The sequence below is a fragment of the Homo sapiens genome, chromosome 3 (genome assembly GCF_000001405.40).
Source record: "Homo sapiens chromosome 3, GRCh38.p14 Primary Assembly".
Lineage (NCBI taxonomy): Eukaryota > Metazoa > Chordata > Mammalia > Primates > Hominidae > Homo > Homo sapiens.
Window position 1 is genome coordinate 10,322,292 of NC_000003.12, and position 15,252 is coordinate 10,337,543.

Sequence of the window (15,252 nt, forward strand, 5' to 3'; positions counted from 1 at the left end):
GTCCTTCAGTTTCCTCTGCTGAAACTGGGAGTAAGGACCCTAGCTGGAGATGGTCACTGCTTGAAGGAAGATGTTAAGGCTCAGAGAATGTGATAGACCCAAACTGTCAAGGAGCTTTGGAGGGGAGGCCAGGGGAGTAGGGTGTTAGAATTAAGGGCCAGGCCTCTGGGCAACTCTTCTACCCCACTGCAGCTTTCAAGATTTTTTATTGCCCTCTAGTGGAGAAATTGTTGCAGGGGTGTGAGGGGGTGGTGGTTAGGTTAGAGCAGGGAACAAAGGCAGGTTTCAGGGGATCTCTTGGATCTCCTGTTGTTTTTTTTGTTTTTTTTTTTTTGGAGATGGACTCTAGCTCTGTTGCCCAGGCTGGAGTCCAGTGGTATGATCTTGGCTCACTGCAACCTCTACCTCCCGGGTTCAAGCAATTCTCCTGCCTCAGCCTCCTGAGTAGCTGGGATTACAGGCATGTGCCACCATGCCTGGCTAATTTTTGTAGTTTTAGTAGAGATGGGGTTTCACCATGTTGGCCAGGCTGGTCTCAAACTCCTGACCTCTGGTGATCTACTCTCCTCGGCCTCTCAAAGTGCTGGGATTACAGGTGTGAGCCGCTGCGTCCTGCCAGATCTCCTGTTCTTCAAGGAACAGGCTCTGGCCTTGGCTCTATAGCTGCACCACTGACTTTCTAGGTGATAAGGCCAAGTCACTTTTCTCTGAGCCTCACTTTCTTTGAGTGGAAAATGAGGACAAGGGCATATTAGATGTAAATATAATGCATCAGGCATAATTGTGATTAAAAGAATTTCCTTGTGTAGACACTGATGTTGAAGAGATTGGGGATTTGTGACAAGCAACAGAACTGTATCTTATTCATTAAGGTATTTGCTGTAAGGTATTTGGCCCATAAGGCGCTGTAATATGGCAGTTTAGAGTACAGATGCTGGCATCAAGACTGCTAGGTATCAGTGCTGGATCTCCTGCTTACCAGGTGGGCATGCTCTTCACCTCTTTGAGATGCTGTCTCCTGCTCTTTTGAGTGAGAATTATAATAATACCTCCTCTGAAGGTTGATATTGGGATTAAATGAACCCTTGGATATGAAACTGCGTATGGAAGTCAGATGGGCCTATGGCGCTTGATTTGGGGATCAGTTCAACCTAAGAAGAGCTGTGTGAGTGTGTGAGTGTGTGTGTAACTCTCAACCCTTGGGCCAACCTTAGGGATTACTTGTTGGTCTGGGCATATTCTCTTTCTCTGCCAATGTTCAGCAGAGGTTTGTGAAGTCCAGACTCCTCAGGTGCCAGGCTTCCCTCTGCCTTACCCCTCTCCCCAGTAGGGGGGTGCCACCTAGATCCAGTGTCTGTATTCCGCATCTCCTCCCTCTGGTTAATCCAGACCCCAAATCAGGCCAACTTTCCCTGATTTTTGCCCCCCCACCCCTTGCCCCCAAACCTCCTCCGCTTCGTCCTGAGGCCCCGTTCCCCAGTCTTCTTCTATGAGATGGTCAACCATTCCTCATAGGTTAATGGCTCATGGCAGGGTGAGCCTGTCTCCCTCAAATGGTGGGTGTTCAAAAGGTGTGATCTAGTGGAAGGAGAGAGACTGCCCGCTGAGCTGTGGGCCCTTGGGCAAAGTGCATTTCCCTCCCAGGGACTCAGTTTCCCCCTGAGTTCAACTCCACGAAGGGCGGGGACCCAGCTGTCCTTCAGAAAAAGGCCTTGTGATGTGTACCGTGTCTGCATTTCCACGTGTGCATTTATTGTTATTGCTCAGTATAGTGTTGAAAAGGCAGACAAATCCCATTAATTACAAAGAGCACAAGCCAAAGATACAGAGAAATAAAGAGTGTACAATAAGAGCACAGTCACTTCCCAGCCCCGATTGTCCCAGAGCCCCCCAGAGCCCGGGCAGCTTACGGAAGCTGGAGGCGGCACCATTCCCTCGCTACTCTATTATAAAATATGTGCACACAAGAGTTAGCAAAGTGTGGTGACCCCCGAGAGGAAAGGTCCAGGAGGGAGAGCACCACAGGCATTACAAAACAGACTTAGGGGGCTGAGAAGGGCAGTCCCAAAGCAGCCTCCAATATTGTTTTCAGTGGAGGGGGTGATGGCTGCTGCCTGGGGCTGGGGACCCTCCTCCCCCACCTGGGTTGGTATGATCTCTACATTAAAATCAGGAGAGCTTGGTTTGGAACTTTGAAAAGGCCTGGGGACTTCCTGCTATTGTCTGACTTCCCTCCTGGCTCTGGAAGGCCTAAAAGCCTTCAAGAAACGCTCTTCCCTACAAGAGCCTCTAATGGTGGGATTTTGGACACAATGGCAGGAGAGAGATTTGGGTGGGAGGCTTGTCAGAATGCACCAGGTTGGCAGCCTCCTGCAGGTAGCGCAAGAGTGGGCTAGGGGAGTGAGGGTTCCGAGAAGGCCCAGGCAAGAACTGCCTGCATCCCAAAGGTACTGGAGACTCCAAATTAAAGAGCAAGAAACTATCCCCCCAAAACAAAATGAAACAAAAACAACAAAAAACCAGTTCAGGAAAGGGAGATAGGAATAAAGGTTTCTCCATGATGAGAATTAGAAGTGCAGACAACTGGGCCACACATTCTTTCCCAGCTCCAGGCCTAGGAGAGACTCCTCTTTCTCGTCTGGACCAGGGACAGATGGCGGGTCCACCCCAACACAACCAAGGTGGGTGACTTTGGTTCCCAAGCTGAGATTGAGTGGGGGCCTGGTGACCTCTCATGACAACTCCTGGGCTTAGGGGGCAGGTGAAATGATGGGAGGAACAGCAGGCTTCTCTCAAGATCAGGATGCCCTTTTTGTCCCTCTTTACAGAACATAGTCTATTTCACAGCCCTGAGTGGACAGTAATTACAATGGGGGGAAGATGATGGCACAGGGAATGACAGAGCCCAGAATTTGGGGGTGGGAATGGGACAGGGGGTGGAGGACTGGGCACAATTTAAAGTTTATGTGGAAGAATAGATGTGAGAGAATAACTAGGAAATTTTGTAAAAGAAGAGTGAAGGGACTCATCCCACCACATAATAAGACATTAGAAATTGACAATAGTTAAAATTGTATGGCTGGTGCCAGATGAGACACCCAAGTAAGCGAAGAGAAGAGAAGTTCCAGAAATAGATCTAAGTCTATGTAAGACATCAGTGTGTGGTAAAGGTGGCATTTCAGCATGGTTGGGGAAAAGAGTGGCTTCCAACAACTGGAGGACCCAGGACAAGACAGGTTCAGAGTCCTTTGAGCCAGTGCAGTCATTTTAATTGGTCCAGTCTCAGAAATAGGACTGCCTCTCTCTTGTCATCTCTATGCTATGGTTGGGACAAGGGGACAAGGGGCCATGGTGAGGGGTTGGCGGGAGCAATGGAGGCTGCTCCTGAGTTAAAGAAAGCTCCGCCTGAGTTGCAAGAAGGAAACTCCTCAGAGCTCTCTCTGCTCACCTCCAAAGATGAGTGATTCTGCAGCGCCAGGAGTCACTGAACGGGCTCCCTGCCCTTCCCTCATCTGTTGAGGGGGAGACAAGTTGGTGAGCTTAGCTCTCAGAACCAAATCTGCCACTTACTCCTGGAGCCCTTGTCTAGAGGACAGAAAAGAAGCTATGTGGATGATGCAGTCCCAAAGTAGAAAAAAGTATACATTACAGATATATTTACTATGTTCTGTTTGATGTTGTTTTTTGCTTTTTTTTTTAAACCACAAACATTTCAGAACCACACTGCACGAGTCAGAAGAGCCAGCGATTGAAAGCATAACCATTGCATAGTATTAAATGAACAGAGATGGTGAGTTCTTTATTTACATTATTGTCTAGATAAAAAAATTCATAAAAACAGATGAATGGTCATAAATTATTTACCCCCTAATGGAGTGAACTGCCAAACGTACCCCATGCTGCTAGATATAGGACGCAGAGTGCAAGCTTTATGTACTACAGTGAGTTTTGACAAACCAACCATTTCGTGTGTGTGTGTGTGTATGTGTGCAAGTGTGAGAGTGAGGGGGTGCATGTGTGCAAGCATCCTTCATTCCTGACAAGAGAAGACCAACGCTAATGTTGGCATTCTTCCATCGCTCCCTGTTCCCTAAGCCAGGCTCCACTGAGAACCCCTCCTGGCTCCGAATGAACATGGAGCATGGTGTGCAAACACAGCTATCCTGATGTCATGGAACGAGGTCACGGACACATGACTGATCAAAGAAGTGGGGAGATGGAAAACTGTGAGAAAGGAAACTCCAAAAAACACCATGTTCCAAGGCTGCCCCATGTTTTACACGTGCAGATCTTTCCTTCCTTGTAGGAGAGCAGTGGGCTGGCTTTGGTGGCGTTTGTACTGGAATCCAATAAGCACATCTGAGGGCTGGTCACCCCTTTGGTTATGCAGTTCCTCTCCTGGATACATTCAGAGATACTTCTTCACGACATTCAGGTGATGCGCTCTTGAAGGTCCTCCTTCCAGGAGGATTTTGCCAGGTGGGATGGGCTGACTTTGAACCCCAAACCCTCAAGTTTTTCCACCGCCATCCAGATGTAGGCCCTCCCAGTTGACTATGGCTCTTTTCCCGAGTGGCTCTCATCTTGTTTGTGGAAGAGTTCTCTGGGCCTGGAGAAGGGAAGGGGCTGGGCTGACACAGCCATCGTGAGGAGGGTCAGCATGAGGAATGGATTTTGCAAGAGAGGCGGAAAGTGTTTGGTTTTCCTCGAAGCATGGGACATCATCGATCATGGTATTCAAAATGTCTTTTGCACTGTACAAGTTTATGGAAAAAAGATCATATGCTGAAAAGTCTCAAAGCAAACTTTGTATTAAATACAAAAGTTCTTTTATGAAAAACGCTGAGACCCACAAAGTGCTTAGCAGTTAAGAGGCTGACATCCAATTAAATAAGCTCTTATTAAGTGGGATTACTAGTGCTGTTGTCTTGGGGAAAAAATAACCACCTTTTCTCACCTGTGATACTGTAGGGTTTCAGAATGGCTTTCTGTTTGGGAAAGCAAGACTTGCTGTTAAAAGGCTACAGTATATATTGTGACTACAGGAAGACAATTTGGTTTAAAATCACACTGAGTACATCTCAATATACACATCATAAGGTTCATTCGGATCTAAATAGTGCAGAGAAAAAGGCTATTCTTCTTCAAAAATAAAAATAAAAGCAGCAAGCCATACTGATCCTCATCCAATATGCCAACAGCTCAGATGCTGCCATTAATAAGGAAACAAACCTGTAAGTTACTAAATAAAAAAAAAAATCAACACAATACCATTTATAATATTTCAACACTACCTCAATCTCTGTACAGACAGTGCCAAAGAGAACCTATTTTTGAAATGCTCTTAGTAAACTCAAGCGAGTTTCATTGAGAGAAAAGTCTTCGAGCAGTGCTTTGCAGATCCTGGCATCCTTGGGCCGGATGGCCGTTAGTGTTGCAAACCCAGGAAGCCTTCTCTCCTCCTCTCCCTTCGTCTACGGAGCATGTTGTTAAACCCCTCAGGATGGCAACTCGGTAGCATTTGGCTTCTGCCTGAGCCTCTCACGGTAGTGACATTATTGAACGGAAATAGCAGGCAAAAATCAGAGCATGGCTATCATAAAACATCCAGGATGCAACCCAGGGGAAGTGTCTGTTGGGCCGAGCTGTTTTTATAGCATCTCAGCCACCAGTGTTCTTAAACCATACAAATAGCCAAAGACGTTATCTACAGGTTTGTAAACAAATTACATTCTTCTTTTAGGACATAAATAAGTTAAAATAGAGCAATTTAAGCGGAAACAAGGCAACATGCCGGCAAAGAAACTTTATATATCCATGTATATATATTTATATATATATATATATATCTACCTATCTATATGGACGTATACAGTCTCGGAAAAGTATACGTTGATATAGATACAAAGAAATGGATATAACCTTGTGAGTGTCTATGAAGTTCTTCGGTTCCATTGGTGCAAATCTACTAGGCGAGTTAAGCTCTGCAATTTCAAAAAGTTATTAAATTAATCTATACAACTGAGACCATGCTGTGCAAGCATTTCAAAAACTCACAGACCAGTGGATTGGATAAATAGTCTCAGAAAAGAGTCTGTTTGCAGTTCCCGCCTAAGAAAACAAACAAACAAACAAAAACCCCTCCCCAACCCCCAAAAACCAAACAAGGGGAGGATTGAAAGTGTACAGTACATTCATGCGGGGGACGTGGTGGCTGGGCGGGTGCATGGCTGGTCCATGTCTGGGTGGGAGCCAGGAAGGGCTTGTTTTGGGAAAACCGCTCACTCCCGTAAGCCCCCAGTGGAGATCCCGCCCCTTGCCTTGAAGTGAAAAAGAGTTCAAACAGCATCGCAGCCAGAGAAAGGGTCTGTGGGTGGAAACGTTGGTTTTCTCTCCAGTATTTGGTTTCCGATTGTTGCTCGTTGCTGCTTGGGTGAGTTGGGTGCCTGGATGGATGGGTGCCCGGAAAGCGGGTGGCAGCGGGGTCCATGAGGGCGGGCGGGCAGGCGAGAGGGTCCTCAGCTAAAGCGACGTCTCCAGGCTGTGGATGGGGCTCCCTGGACTTGAAGAGGTAGCTGATTTGCTTGTGTCGGTCGTCAGGTTGATCCCACTGTCGATGGCGCTGTTGTTCTTGTTGAGGGATGACGGCGGGCTCGAGTTCTGCTTGAGCGCGGCATCTTCTTCCAGGTCGGTGTCATCAATGAGGGGGATGTGGGGCTGGGAATCTTCGATCCGGAATTCAGGATGAGCCATGAAGTTATGGATGGAGGTTCGAGATTCAGGCTTTTCTAAACCTTCATAGAGAGAGCTACGGAACGCCTTCACGACGCGGATCTGCAAGGGAAGCACAGGGGTCAGGAGCACTGCCCAGGGACCACAGCCAGGCTCGGGGGGCTCACAGGAGGGGCGGGTGGGAGAAGGGTTAGGGCAAAGCAGGTGGCTGGAATCCATAGTCGCTGGGTGTTATTAGCATTGACAGGATGGGGGAGAGTGAAAAAGGGGGCTCAGGTTATAGGCATCCTTGAGCTGGTTTTTAAAAATCTCTTTGGTTTTGGTAGAAACTAGTGTTAGGACAGGAGGAATCACCAAGCACCATCAAAGAGATGATGGGGAACAGTGGTTAAAGGAAGCACAGTCGACTCCTGCGGGCACCCACACCTAGTGAGAGACTGAGCCTTGTTCACTTTAAAGCAGAGGTTCAACCATGCAGACAGGGAGGAGGACCAGGTGGGAATCAAGTAGGAAAGAGGAGAGGCTATTAAAAAAATTCATCTTAGGAAAACCACACACAGTTAAGAAACCATACAACATGGAACATGTTACGTGTCACAAACAGAAAAGGCACAGAAAGGAGAGACGGTTGGATGAGTTGGGATGAGAGAGACACATGAGGGCCAAACAGAACGGGAACATCAAACCAAAGGCAGCAAAGCAAACCAAAGCCAACCCAGGGCTTTCTGAGGTGCAGAGCAGAGGCAGCCAGAAAGCACATGGGAGCTGGCGGACAGATGACATTCGGGGGCGGGCTGCATGCCACGGGGAGGCCGGGAGCCACATGGCACACACAGACAGACACACGGCTACACTTGGAAGCCTGGACAATGTGAACGGAGGTCGTTTGTACCCAGCGTTTCTTTCCTTCATGCATTTGGGAGGTAAACACTCGAGTATAGACTCAAAGCCCTGGCCGGCCAGTTATTGGAGCTTGCTTTGGGGTCTCTTATTTCCTGGGGGATTTTGTTTATTTCTTTATTTGTGCTTTGAAAACACAAAACCAAAAAACGAGGCTGGAATCAGATGGCCAAACCCAGCCCCAGTGGGATTCTGGGGTGTGTGGAACTGAGTCACAAAACAGCAAGTTCTTTCATTTTCTGTCTCAGTTGTGAACCACACGTCCTGGGGCCTCAGTTTCCTCCGCTGAAGAATGGGAGGAGGCTGGTCATTGAGTCTTCAAGGCTAGTGGAAAGAGCACTGGACTTGGAGGCAGAAAGACCCAACTTGCATCCTGGCTCTGCCACATCTGGTGCCTTGACTGTGGACAAGCCACACTAGCTCTCTGGTTGTCCTCTGTCCTGCCTCACAGGGTGCAGAGGGACGGGACCCTCACTTGGAAGAGAGGTGTCCCTTCTCTGGACTCCTGGGAGGGGCAGCAGTGCCTGTCATCTCAAGAGTCTGATGGGACTTGGGACAAAGGTGCCTCCTCCTCTCGTCCCAGCCCCAACTCGGAGTGGAGTCAGAGGTGGAGAAAACAAGGCGGCGTTGGCGCCTCCAGGACAGAGCCTTAGTCGGCTGCTGTGTGCAGGCCAAGTGGCACCCACCTGCAGAGCAGTGGCTGCCCTGCACCACAGGCCTGCGGGGAGGCAGGGGACTGGACGAGACGGTCGTGGGGAGGCCCCTGAAGTCCCAGGACTTGAGCTCTCAGCGGAACCCAGGGGTAGCTCCTTTGTGAAACCCTGGTGGGGAAAGCCCTCTTTTATGGAAGTGGAGTTTCTAGGTGACTGTGGTTGATGATTTTAAGTGTCATCGCTGAAGGTTTGTTTTACTGTTGCAGAGGGAATTCTTTCTAAAGCATGTCATACGCTCCTCTGACTTCTAATTTAGAGTGCACAGAGAAGAATTTAACATAAGCTTTGTCAATTATCCTTCTTGGTCTTAGGTAAGACCCCATGGATTGTCTTGTTTTTTCTCCCTTGCTGTCAGTCATCGCTTACTAGTTAGTGCTGACTTTTCTGTTTTCTGAAAAGCACCTCTGTCCTTTCACCTTGCATACTGTGAGCTGGGACTCCAGGGTACCCCACTTGCTGGAATTGTGCTTTAAATAAGAGGCAACAAGTGCCAAATAAGAGCCAGCCAGACACGGCCTTTATGCTGGTGCTCCATCATGGCCACTGTGGCTGCTCTGAGCTCTTTCCCCCTGGAGTCCCTCTTTGTGGCTCTGCAGAGATGGTTCATATTCTGATCTCCTGAAAAGTGAGCCGTTACACCTTGATTAACTGAAAACAAAGAAGGCGCTGCAGGCCTCAGCTTTCTTGTTTGTAGAATGGGAATAGCATCAAGGCTGTAGCTGCCTAGCCTGGTGCTCAGTGTGTTCTGAGGTTGAAGTGCAATTCAGATGCTGACTGGAACACCTAGTGTATGTGTGGGGCAGGGGGATGGTGGCAGGACCCTGTCATGTGACTGACAACGCAGAGGGGATGACACACAATGAGATGAGGCCCCTCCGCCCTCCCCGTGGCATGGAGACAACAGAAAAAATGAACTGCTCTGGACAAGACTGTGGGGACGAGACTTTTTGGGACACCCCGCCACGGCCATCTCAAGTCTCCACTTCGGTTCTCTCCGAGGCTGAAATGGAAAAAACTATGGGAAAAAAAAAAAAGGCTCTTCCATCTCCCCTCCCTGCCTACCCTAAAGGTAGGAATTTTTTTTTTTTTGGCATAAGCTGCATTTGGGCGTGGGGGTGAGGGGAAGGAGAGGAAGGGACCTGGTGAGCGGGGTTTCAGATGTTTTGGTTTCGTCAGCACAAAGGGAACAGGGAGACCCATGCCCGTTGTCAGAGGGCTCTGAGAAAACGCACAGGCCCTGGTCTGAGATGGGTTCTACATACTCGAATGTTTACCCGGCTTCAAGGAAGCCAAGAGTCTGGGATTGATTCACATTCATTTCAGGCTCAAGGTTAAAGACTCACAACCTCTTTTAATTTCACTCTCTCTTGCTGAACTCTGTGTCCAGGGTTCTCTAGCCCTCTAGGGAAACAAACACATGGAATATTCAGACAGTGGAGAGGTCTAGGGTTCCCCCCACAAAGCAAGCCATTTTCTCGCCAACCCAAGGTTGCACTAAATTAGTTACCAAAACGCTAATGAGAAGTCCAGCTTTCTTCCCTTTTTGTTGTCTTCATTTCTCCCCCTAACAGTGCAAACTCCTTGCCCTAGGAGTCGTCAGAACCAGGAATCTGCAGGGGAAGTGGGAGCAGGAGGTGCCTTATCTGTCTAGCAAGGTACGGCGTCCAGAATGTGGCTTGGACCTGGCTTATGGGGCTGGCTCTTGGCTTGGGTGGTTTGAAAGAGCAGGACTTCCACTGATAAACACGGAGCCTGCTACAGACTTGCTAAGCACAAAGATGGTTTGAGATGAGTTAGGAATTTGAGGCAATGAGAAAGAGAGGCTGTGCGGCTTTGCCTTGGATCGAAGTGTGGGATGCTAATCTTGTCCTTGACCACCAGTGGGAAGGTGCCCTTCTCCCCAGTCTTGGCCACGCTGGTAGAAGTTCAAGCTGAGAAACAGCTTCCCTGGCCTTCCCTGGAGGACTGACTCCTTTTCACGATATGAGGCTGTGGGCGTGGGCACTGGTTCCGGAATGGAAGTTCAGCCTCTGTGGCTCCAGGTCTGTGGGCCTCCTGGGAAGCGGTGTGACTAGTGGGAAGAATGAGGGACTCCGGAGTCTGACCTCTTGCCACGCCCTTGCTGTGGTCACCCTGGCCTCATCAGTGTCTTTCTCTGCGAAATGGATGTGTTGGCAGGTCCTCCCCTCCCACAATTCAGTGGTGAGGCATCTGTGAAGTAAAGGGAGTGGGGAACTGCTCTGGAAATGTTGAGTGGGGCTCAGGTATAAGGCAATAGGGACGTGCCATTAAGTTTCCGGGGCAAAAACAACCTCGTTTTTGAGTTAGTCAGAAGAGTGCACCAATTCATTCCCTCCCGAGCATCCTCGTGCCATGTGCCTTGTGACTGCGGTCAGGCTTACCATGTGCGTCTGTCTGCTGAGGCCTTCATCTTGCGGTGGTGCCGTGGGGAGGGGAGGGCCTGCGATGTGTTCAGGGGTTTTCCTCACTCCAGTGTCCCAGGTCAGAAGTCAGGCCCTGTCCCAGGCCTTTGTGGTCAACTCTTCATAACCCAGGGGACAGTGGATTGACTCCTTCCAGGGCACACTGGCTGCAGGTGTTTTTGCCTCAGCAGGCACATGGGCAGCCTCCTCTGCTGGGGAGTCCCCAGGAAGCAGATCCCCCTCAGAAGGCTGGTGGGGTGCGGTGGGGGTGAAGGAGTTGTGGGGTAGTGGGGCGGCCCACTTCCTCATCCCATCAAATTGGGGCCCTTCTGTCACTTCCTGGCCACCTGTTTAAACCTCCCTGTGGGAGGAAAGCACACTGGCTTCTGCAGGGACCTTGGCTGGTGTTTAGAGGGTCCTCAGAGTCCTTGGAGACCAGAGGAGGCAGCACTGTTGTAGACACTACTCAAGCAAAGGAGGCACGAGGCTGTGTTGTCCAAATGTGTGTACTGAAACCACAGAGGCTGTGATCCTGTCTGGGAACCAGTGCCCTCAGGCAGGGGTTTGGTCAGGCTCTTTTTAAGACTATAGGCTCAGGAAGGGTCTCAGGAGGCACCCAGAATTACAGGCTGGATTCTGTCACAGAGGGGGAATGCGAGATTCTCCAGGAGGCATGAAGAGGGAGAGGCAAGATGGTGAGCAGGGTGGGGAGGCCCTGGCCAACCCTGCCGGGTCCCCTGAGAGAATGAGGGGTCAGGGCAAGGACTGTCAAGTTGGCTTTGGCTGAGCCTCTGCCTGGGCTTCTTTTCCAAGACTGTTCCAAAGTTGGGGTAACCACGGGCTACAGGGGACTGATCTGGCCTCGAAGGAGGTCAGTGTAGACACATTCCTGTCTAAGCATTTCTGCAGAAATGAAGAAAAGGGCATTTCTGCAAAGAAGTGTTGTTCCCGGACGGGCCCTATTGAATGGCTTTGCAAATGAGGCAGAAGAAAAGCTGAGAAAGAAGTGGCTGAGGTTTGAGCGGACAGCTCTAGCTTCCAGGCTGTGAAAGCTAAGATGAGGGGCTGACTCGGGGACGACTTCCAAAGGCAGTGGGCCTGCCCAGCGATGTCAGGTGTGCTCCGTCGTGGCCAGGGTGAAGTGCTGCCCTTCAAGAAAGAGGCTCAACTGGGATGGACAAAGAACTGGGCCTTCACCCAGAAGCCAGACTGCTAGCAGGCAGCCCCAGCCGGAGGGCCGCAGGAGTCATCGGGAGGGGTGGCAGAACAGAAGTGGATTCTTCCCCATGTAGCTCTCCCTGCCGGGACACTTGGTTACCGCACCTCAGGATAGGTGGGGGTGCTGAGCAAGGCCAGAGCTGAGTTGGTGCAGAAAGGAGCTGGGAGGTCAGCTGGCTAGGCTGCTGCTAAGGTGAGAGCTCTCTGGTCTAAAGGGGAGGAGGATGGGACCGGTGTTGCCTTCCCCGAGAAATCCTGGCAGTGACTGCCTAGTGACGGTATCTCATGGAAATGTGACTCAGCCACCATCTGCTGAAATGCATCTCCATTTCATCTTGGCTCCCCGGTCCTCCCCAGCACTGCGTTTCTGTGCTGACGAATGAGCACTGAGAGGCTCCTTCCCTGCTTTCTGCTTCTGTCCTGCCGCTATGGGTCGTGGACATTTGCCATCAACAGGCTCCCTGTGGCCCGCGCCTCCTACTGGAGGCACTGAGGGAGGCGCTCCCACCAGCACACCGGGTTACCTGCTTGGCTGCAGGGGTTGTGTTGTGGGTGTTCTGGTTTTGGATGGGGGTAGAGGCCCTTTATAAAGTTTCAAGGGGTGAGCTGGAGTCTACTTCTCATCAAAGAAGCTGGAGGCTAAGACTGACACTATGCCAATTGGAGAAGACCAGAACCAGGGGCTCCCCTGCAGATCAGAAGCGCCTGACTGGAAACATAGCAGGGCGATGGGAGGAAAGACAGACTTGTTCCCTATGGGGCCCGAAGCCATGGGTCCGGGAAAGAGCTAGACAAAGCCAGCAATGAGTGATCTAGATCAGAAGTGGTGGCATGAGGAGATGAGCTTGGCAGGAGGGAGATGAAGGAGGGGCCACAGTCCCAGGCTATCTCTCAGATAAAGGAGGGCAGGATGCTGAAGGGCATATCAGGTCCCTCTGGGCCTGCTGGCACCCAGGCAAGATGTGAGGCTCGACCCACCATTTTCTACCAGGGGTCAAGCTGAATGGGCCAGGGACCTTGTCCTTTCCAGGAAGGGCTTAGAACTTCAGCAAGTTCCAAGCTCAGCCACAGGGAAAGGTGTCTGCAGGGCAGCTGATGCAGTCAAAAGTGCAAGGGGAGGAGTGACAGGAAGCGGGCAGAGACTCTGAACTGCTGGGGTGCAGCGTCTAGGCTGTGAGCTCCTAGGTGGCCTGGGGATCCCTGGCTGACTATGACCTCTGACCTGCAGTGACCTCTTGGCTCAACTGTCCCCCTTGACCATGACCCTCATTACTGTGGGTGCCCCCTGACCAACTGGGAAAGTCTGGTTGACGTGACCCTCTCCTGGGTGGATCCCAATGTGACTGACTGGGACCCTAAGGGGCTTGCTCCCCTTGACCCACAGTGACCCTTCTGCTGACTTTGACTGCAAGACTGGGACCTCTTGTCCAACTCCAACCCTTGCCTTGGTGGTCCAGGCTTTTCCTGACCACATATGACCCTAGGCCAGTGGGACACTCTGTGTCCCCTCCATGTCTGTCCCCCTCTGGCTGCCGGGACCCTGTGGTGGGTTGGGACCATTTGGTCACTGATGTCCTCTTGACCAAGGGTGACCCCTTGACTGAACCAGACTTTTTGGCCACTTGGGACCCTAATGACCCTCTGACTGACCCTGGTCCACTGAGTGACTGCCACCGCATGACTGGCTACGCTCTCCTGACCAACGGGACCCTCTTCGGTGGCTGGGACCCTTCATCCCCCTGGGCCTGATTGTGACCGGCTGCCCCCCATGTCCTCTGGTGCCCCAGCCCCTGCCCGCCTGGGAGCTGGCGTGGGCAGTGCCAGCCGGAGGCAGTAAGGAGTCACACTCACGCCCGGCTGCAGCAGGAGGAAGGCTGGTCGGAGAGGAAAGAGCATTGGACAACGACACGCGACTAGGGCTAGAGAGATTGGCTACATCCTGGCTCTGGCTGGTGACCGAGGACTGTCTCCGCAGGGCCCCCTGAAAGGAGGCCCCGCTCTTGAAAGTATTGACTACTTCAATCTGCAACGGAGGAGAGAACGAGACAAGTTGCGAGAAGAACGAGCACAACGGCTACATGACTGACAGGGCAACGTCACAAGAACAGCCGCAGCCACGGCAACAACGACAATGTCACTTAAATCAAAACAAAAATACCAGACACACTCCAAGGCTCTGAAAAACGTCTGCTCAGCTCTGGGCCCACCTGCAGGCCCCAGGGTCCCCGGGAGGACACAGGGGGTCCGGCCTTTGTCCTGTGCTAGTGGCTCAGGGGCCAGTGGGCTGGCCAGTGGGGGAGGCAGTGATTAAACATGGTATCTGGAGGGAAGAGAGCAGTGTTCAGCCTCCCTCAGGTACAGGCGTGGAGGTAGAGGGTGTGGTGGGGGTCCTGAGGTGGACAGAGCTTGGCCTAAATTCCAGCTCTGTCACTTACTAGCTAGCTGACCTTGGGCAAGCCACCTCTCTGAGTCGAGTTTCTTGTTCTTAAGAAGGGTCAATGCCACCTGCCTGGCAGGGTTATCTGTAAGTGGCAAAGCACCTGACCCGTGTTAGCATTCCGCAAGAGGCAGGCAAGACAGGCGCCCCTGCCCACTCAAGAAATCGCAGTCCTTGCTTCCTCCCGTAATCTGGAGACCCCTGCGTGGCTTTGCCGCCAGGGCAGTGACAGCACCAGGGACATATTCACTGAGTTGTCCTGGACCTCCCAGGAGGTGGGGGCAGGCTGGGAGGGGTGGCTGCGGGGCCCTAACCAGGGAGGGTGAGCCCAGGCCCGTGTCAGGCACCTCCGGGTCTGAAACCGGCTTCCAGTCCCCACCCCAGCTGTGCCAGCTCAGTAGAAGGGGCCATCTCCTGGACCTTGGTAACCTCTAAAACTGGGGGAGTCACATCTACCTCCCAGGGCTGTGAAGGTCACATGAGGTGAGGTTTGGGACAGGGTACAGAGGGGTGGGAGGTGACCCAGGTGAGCTCTCTGCTACATCGGATGGAAATGAGGTGCTGGGCCACAGCTGGCAGGATGGTGGCCAGGTGGCTGCTTCTACACTGCACTTCGCCCAAGCATGCTGGGGCATGGAGGAGCTCCCACTCCAGCTCCCCAGATGGTCTGGGCAAGAGACCCACAGAGTCCCTTCTGACCCTCCCCTCGCAGGGCTGTGACAGCACTTGTGAGCTACAACACCTGCTCCAGGCATAAGGGGACCATGTGAGAGCATGTGGTATGTGTGTGGGGGGGTCGGGGGAGGCGCGCAGGTGTGTCGTGTGCCAC

At 51.6% G+C, this 15,252-nt stretch overlaps 1 protein-coding gene and 1 non-coding gene across 18 annotated transcripts in view, besides 1 other annotated feature; one reads left to right on the forward strand and one right to left on the reverse strand.

Annotated features, from left to right (window-relative positions):
• The window catches only part of ATP2B2 (ATPase plasma membrane Ca2+ transporting 2), a 384,094-nt gene continuing 370,573 nt past the window's right edge, over positions 1,732 to 15,252 (reverse strand). For 13 of the 17 annotated variants that reach the window (NM_001438036.1, XM_017006484.3, XM_006713175.5 and 10 more), the window contains one exon: positions 1,732 to 6,834. In NM_001438036.1, coding sequence (NP_001424965.1) covers positions 6,523 to 6,834 — 312 coding nt within the window. In that variant the 3' untranslated portion in view covers positions 1,732 to 6,522. Of the gene's footprint in view, positions 6,835 to 9,691; positions 9,747 to 13,837; positions 14,010 to 15,252 lie in introns of all 17 variants that reach the window. The other 4 variants (XM_017006488.3, XM_017006485.3, NM_001363862.1 and 1 more) reach the window with 2 other exon arrangements.
• Positions 5,993 to 6,541: an enhancer, noted in NCBI's record as "H3K4me1 hESC enhancer chr3:10369968-10370516 (GRCh37/hg19 assembly coordinates)". NCBI's record gives its function as "activates a minimal SCP1, AML or CMV promoter by ChIP-STARR-seq in primed H9 embryonic stem cells {active_cell/tissue: H9 hESC(primed)}" and the evidence as "EXISTENCE:reporter gene assay evidence [ECO:0000049][PMID:30033119]".
• Positions 7,938 to 7,994, forward strand: MIR378B (microRNA 378b). The gene has a single exon (NR_036084.1). It is a non-coding gene; the product is annotated as a microRNA 378b (primary transcript).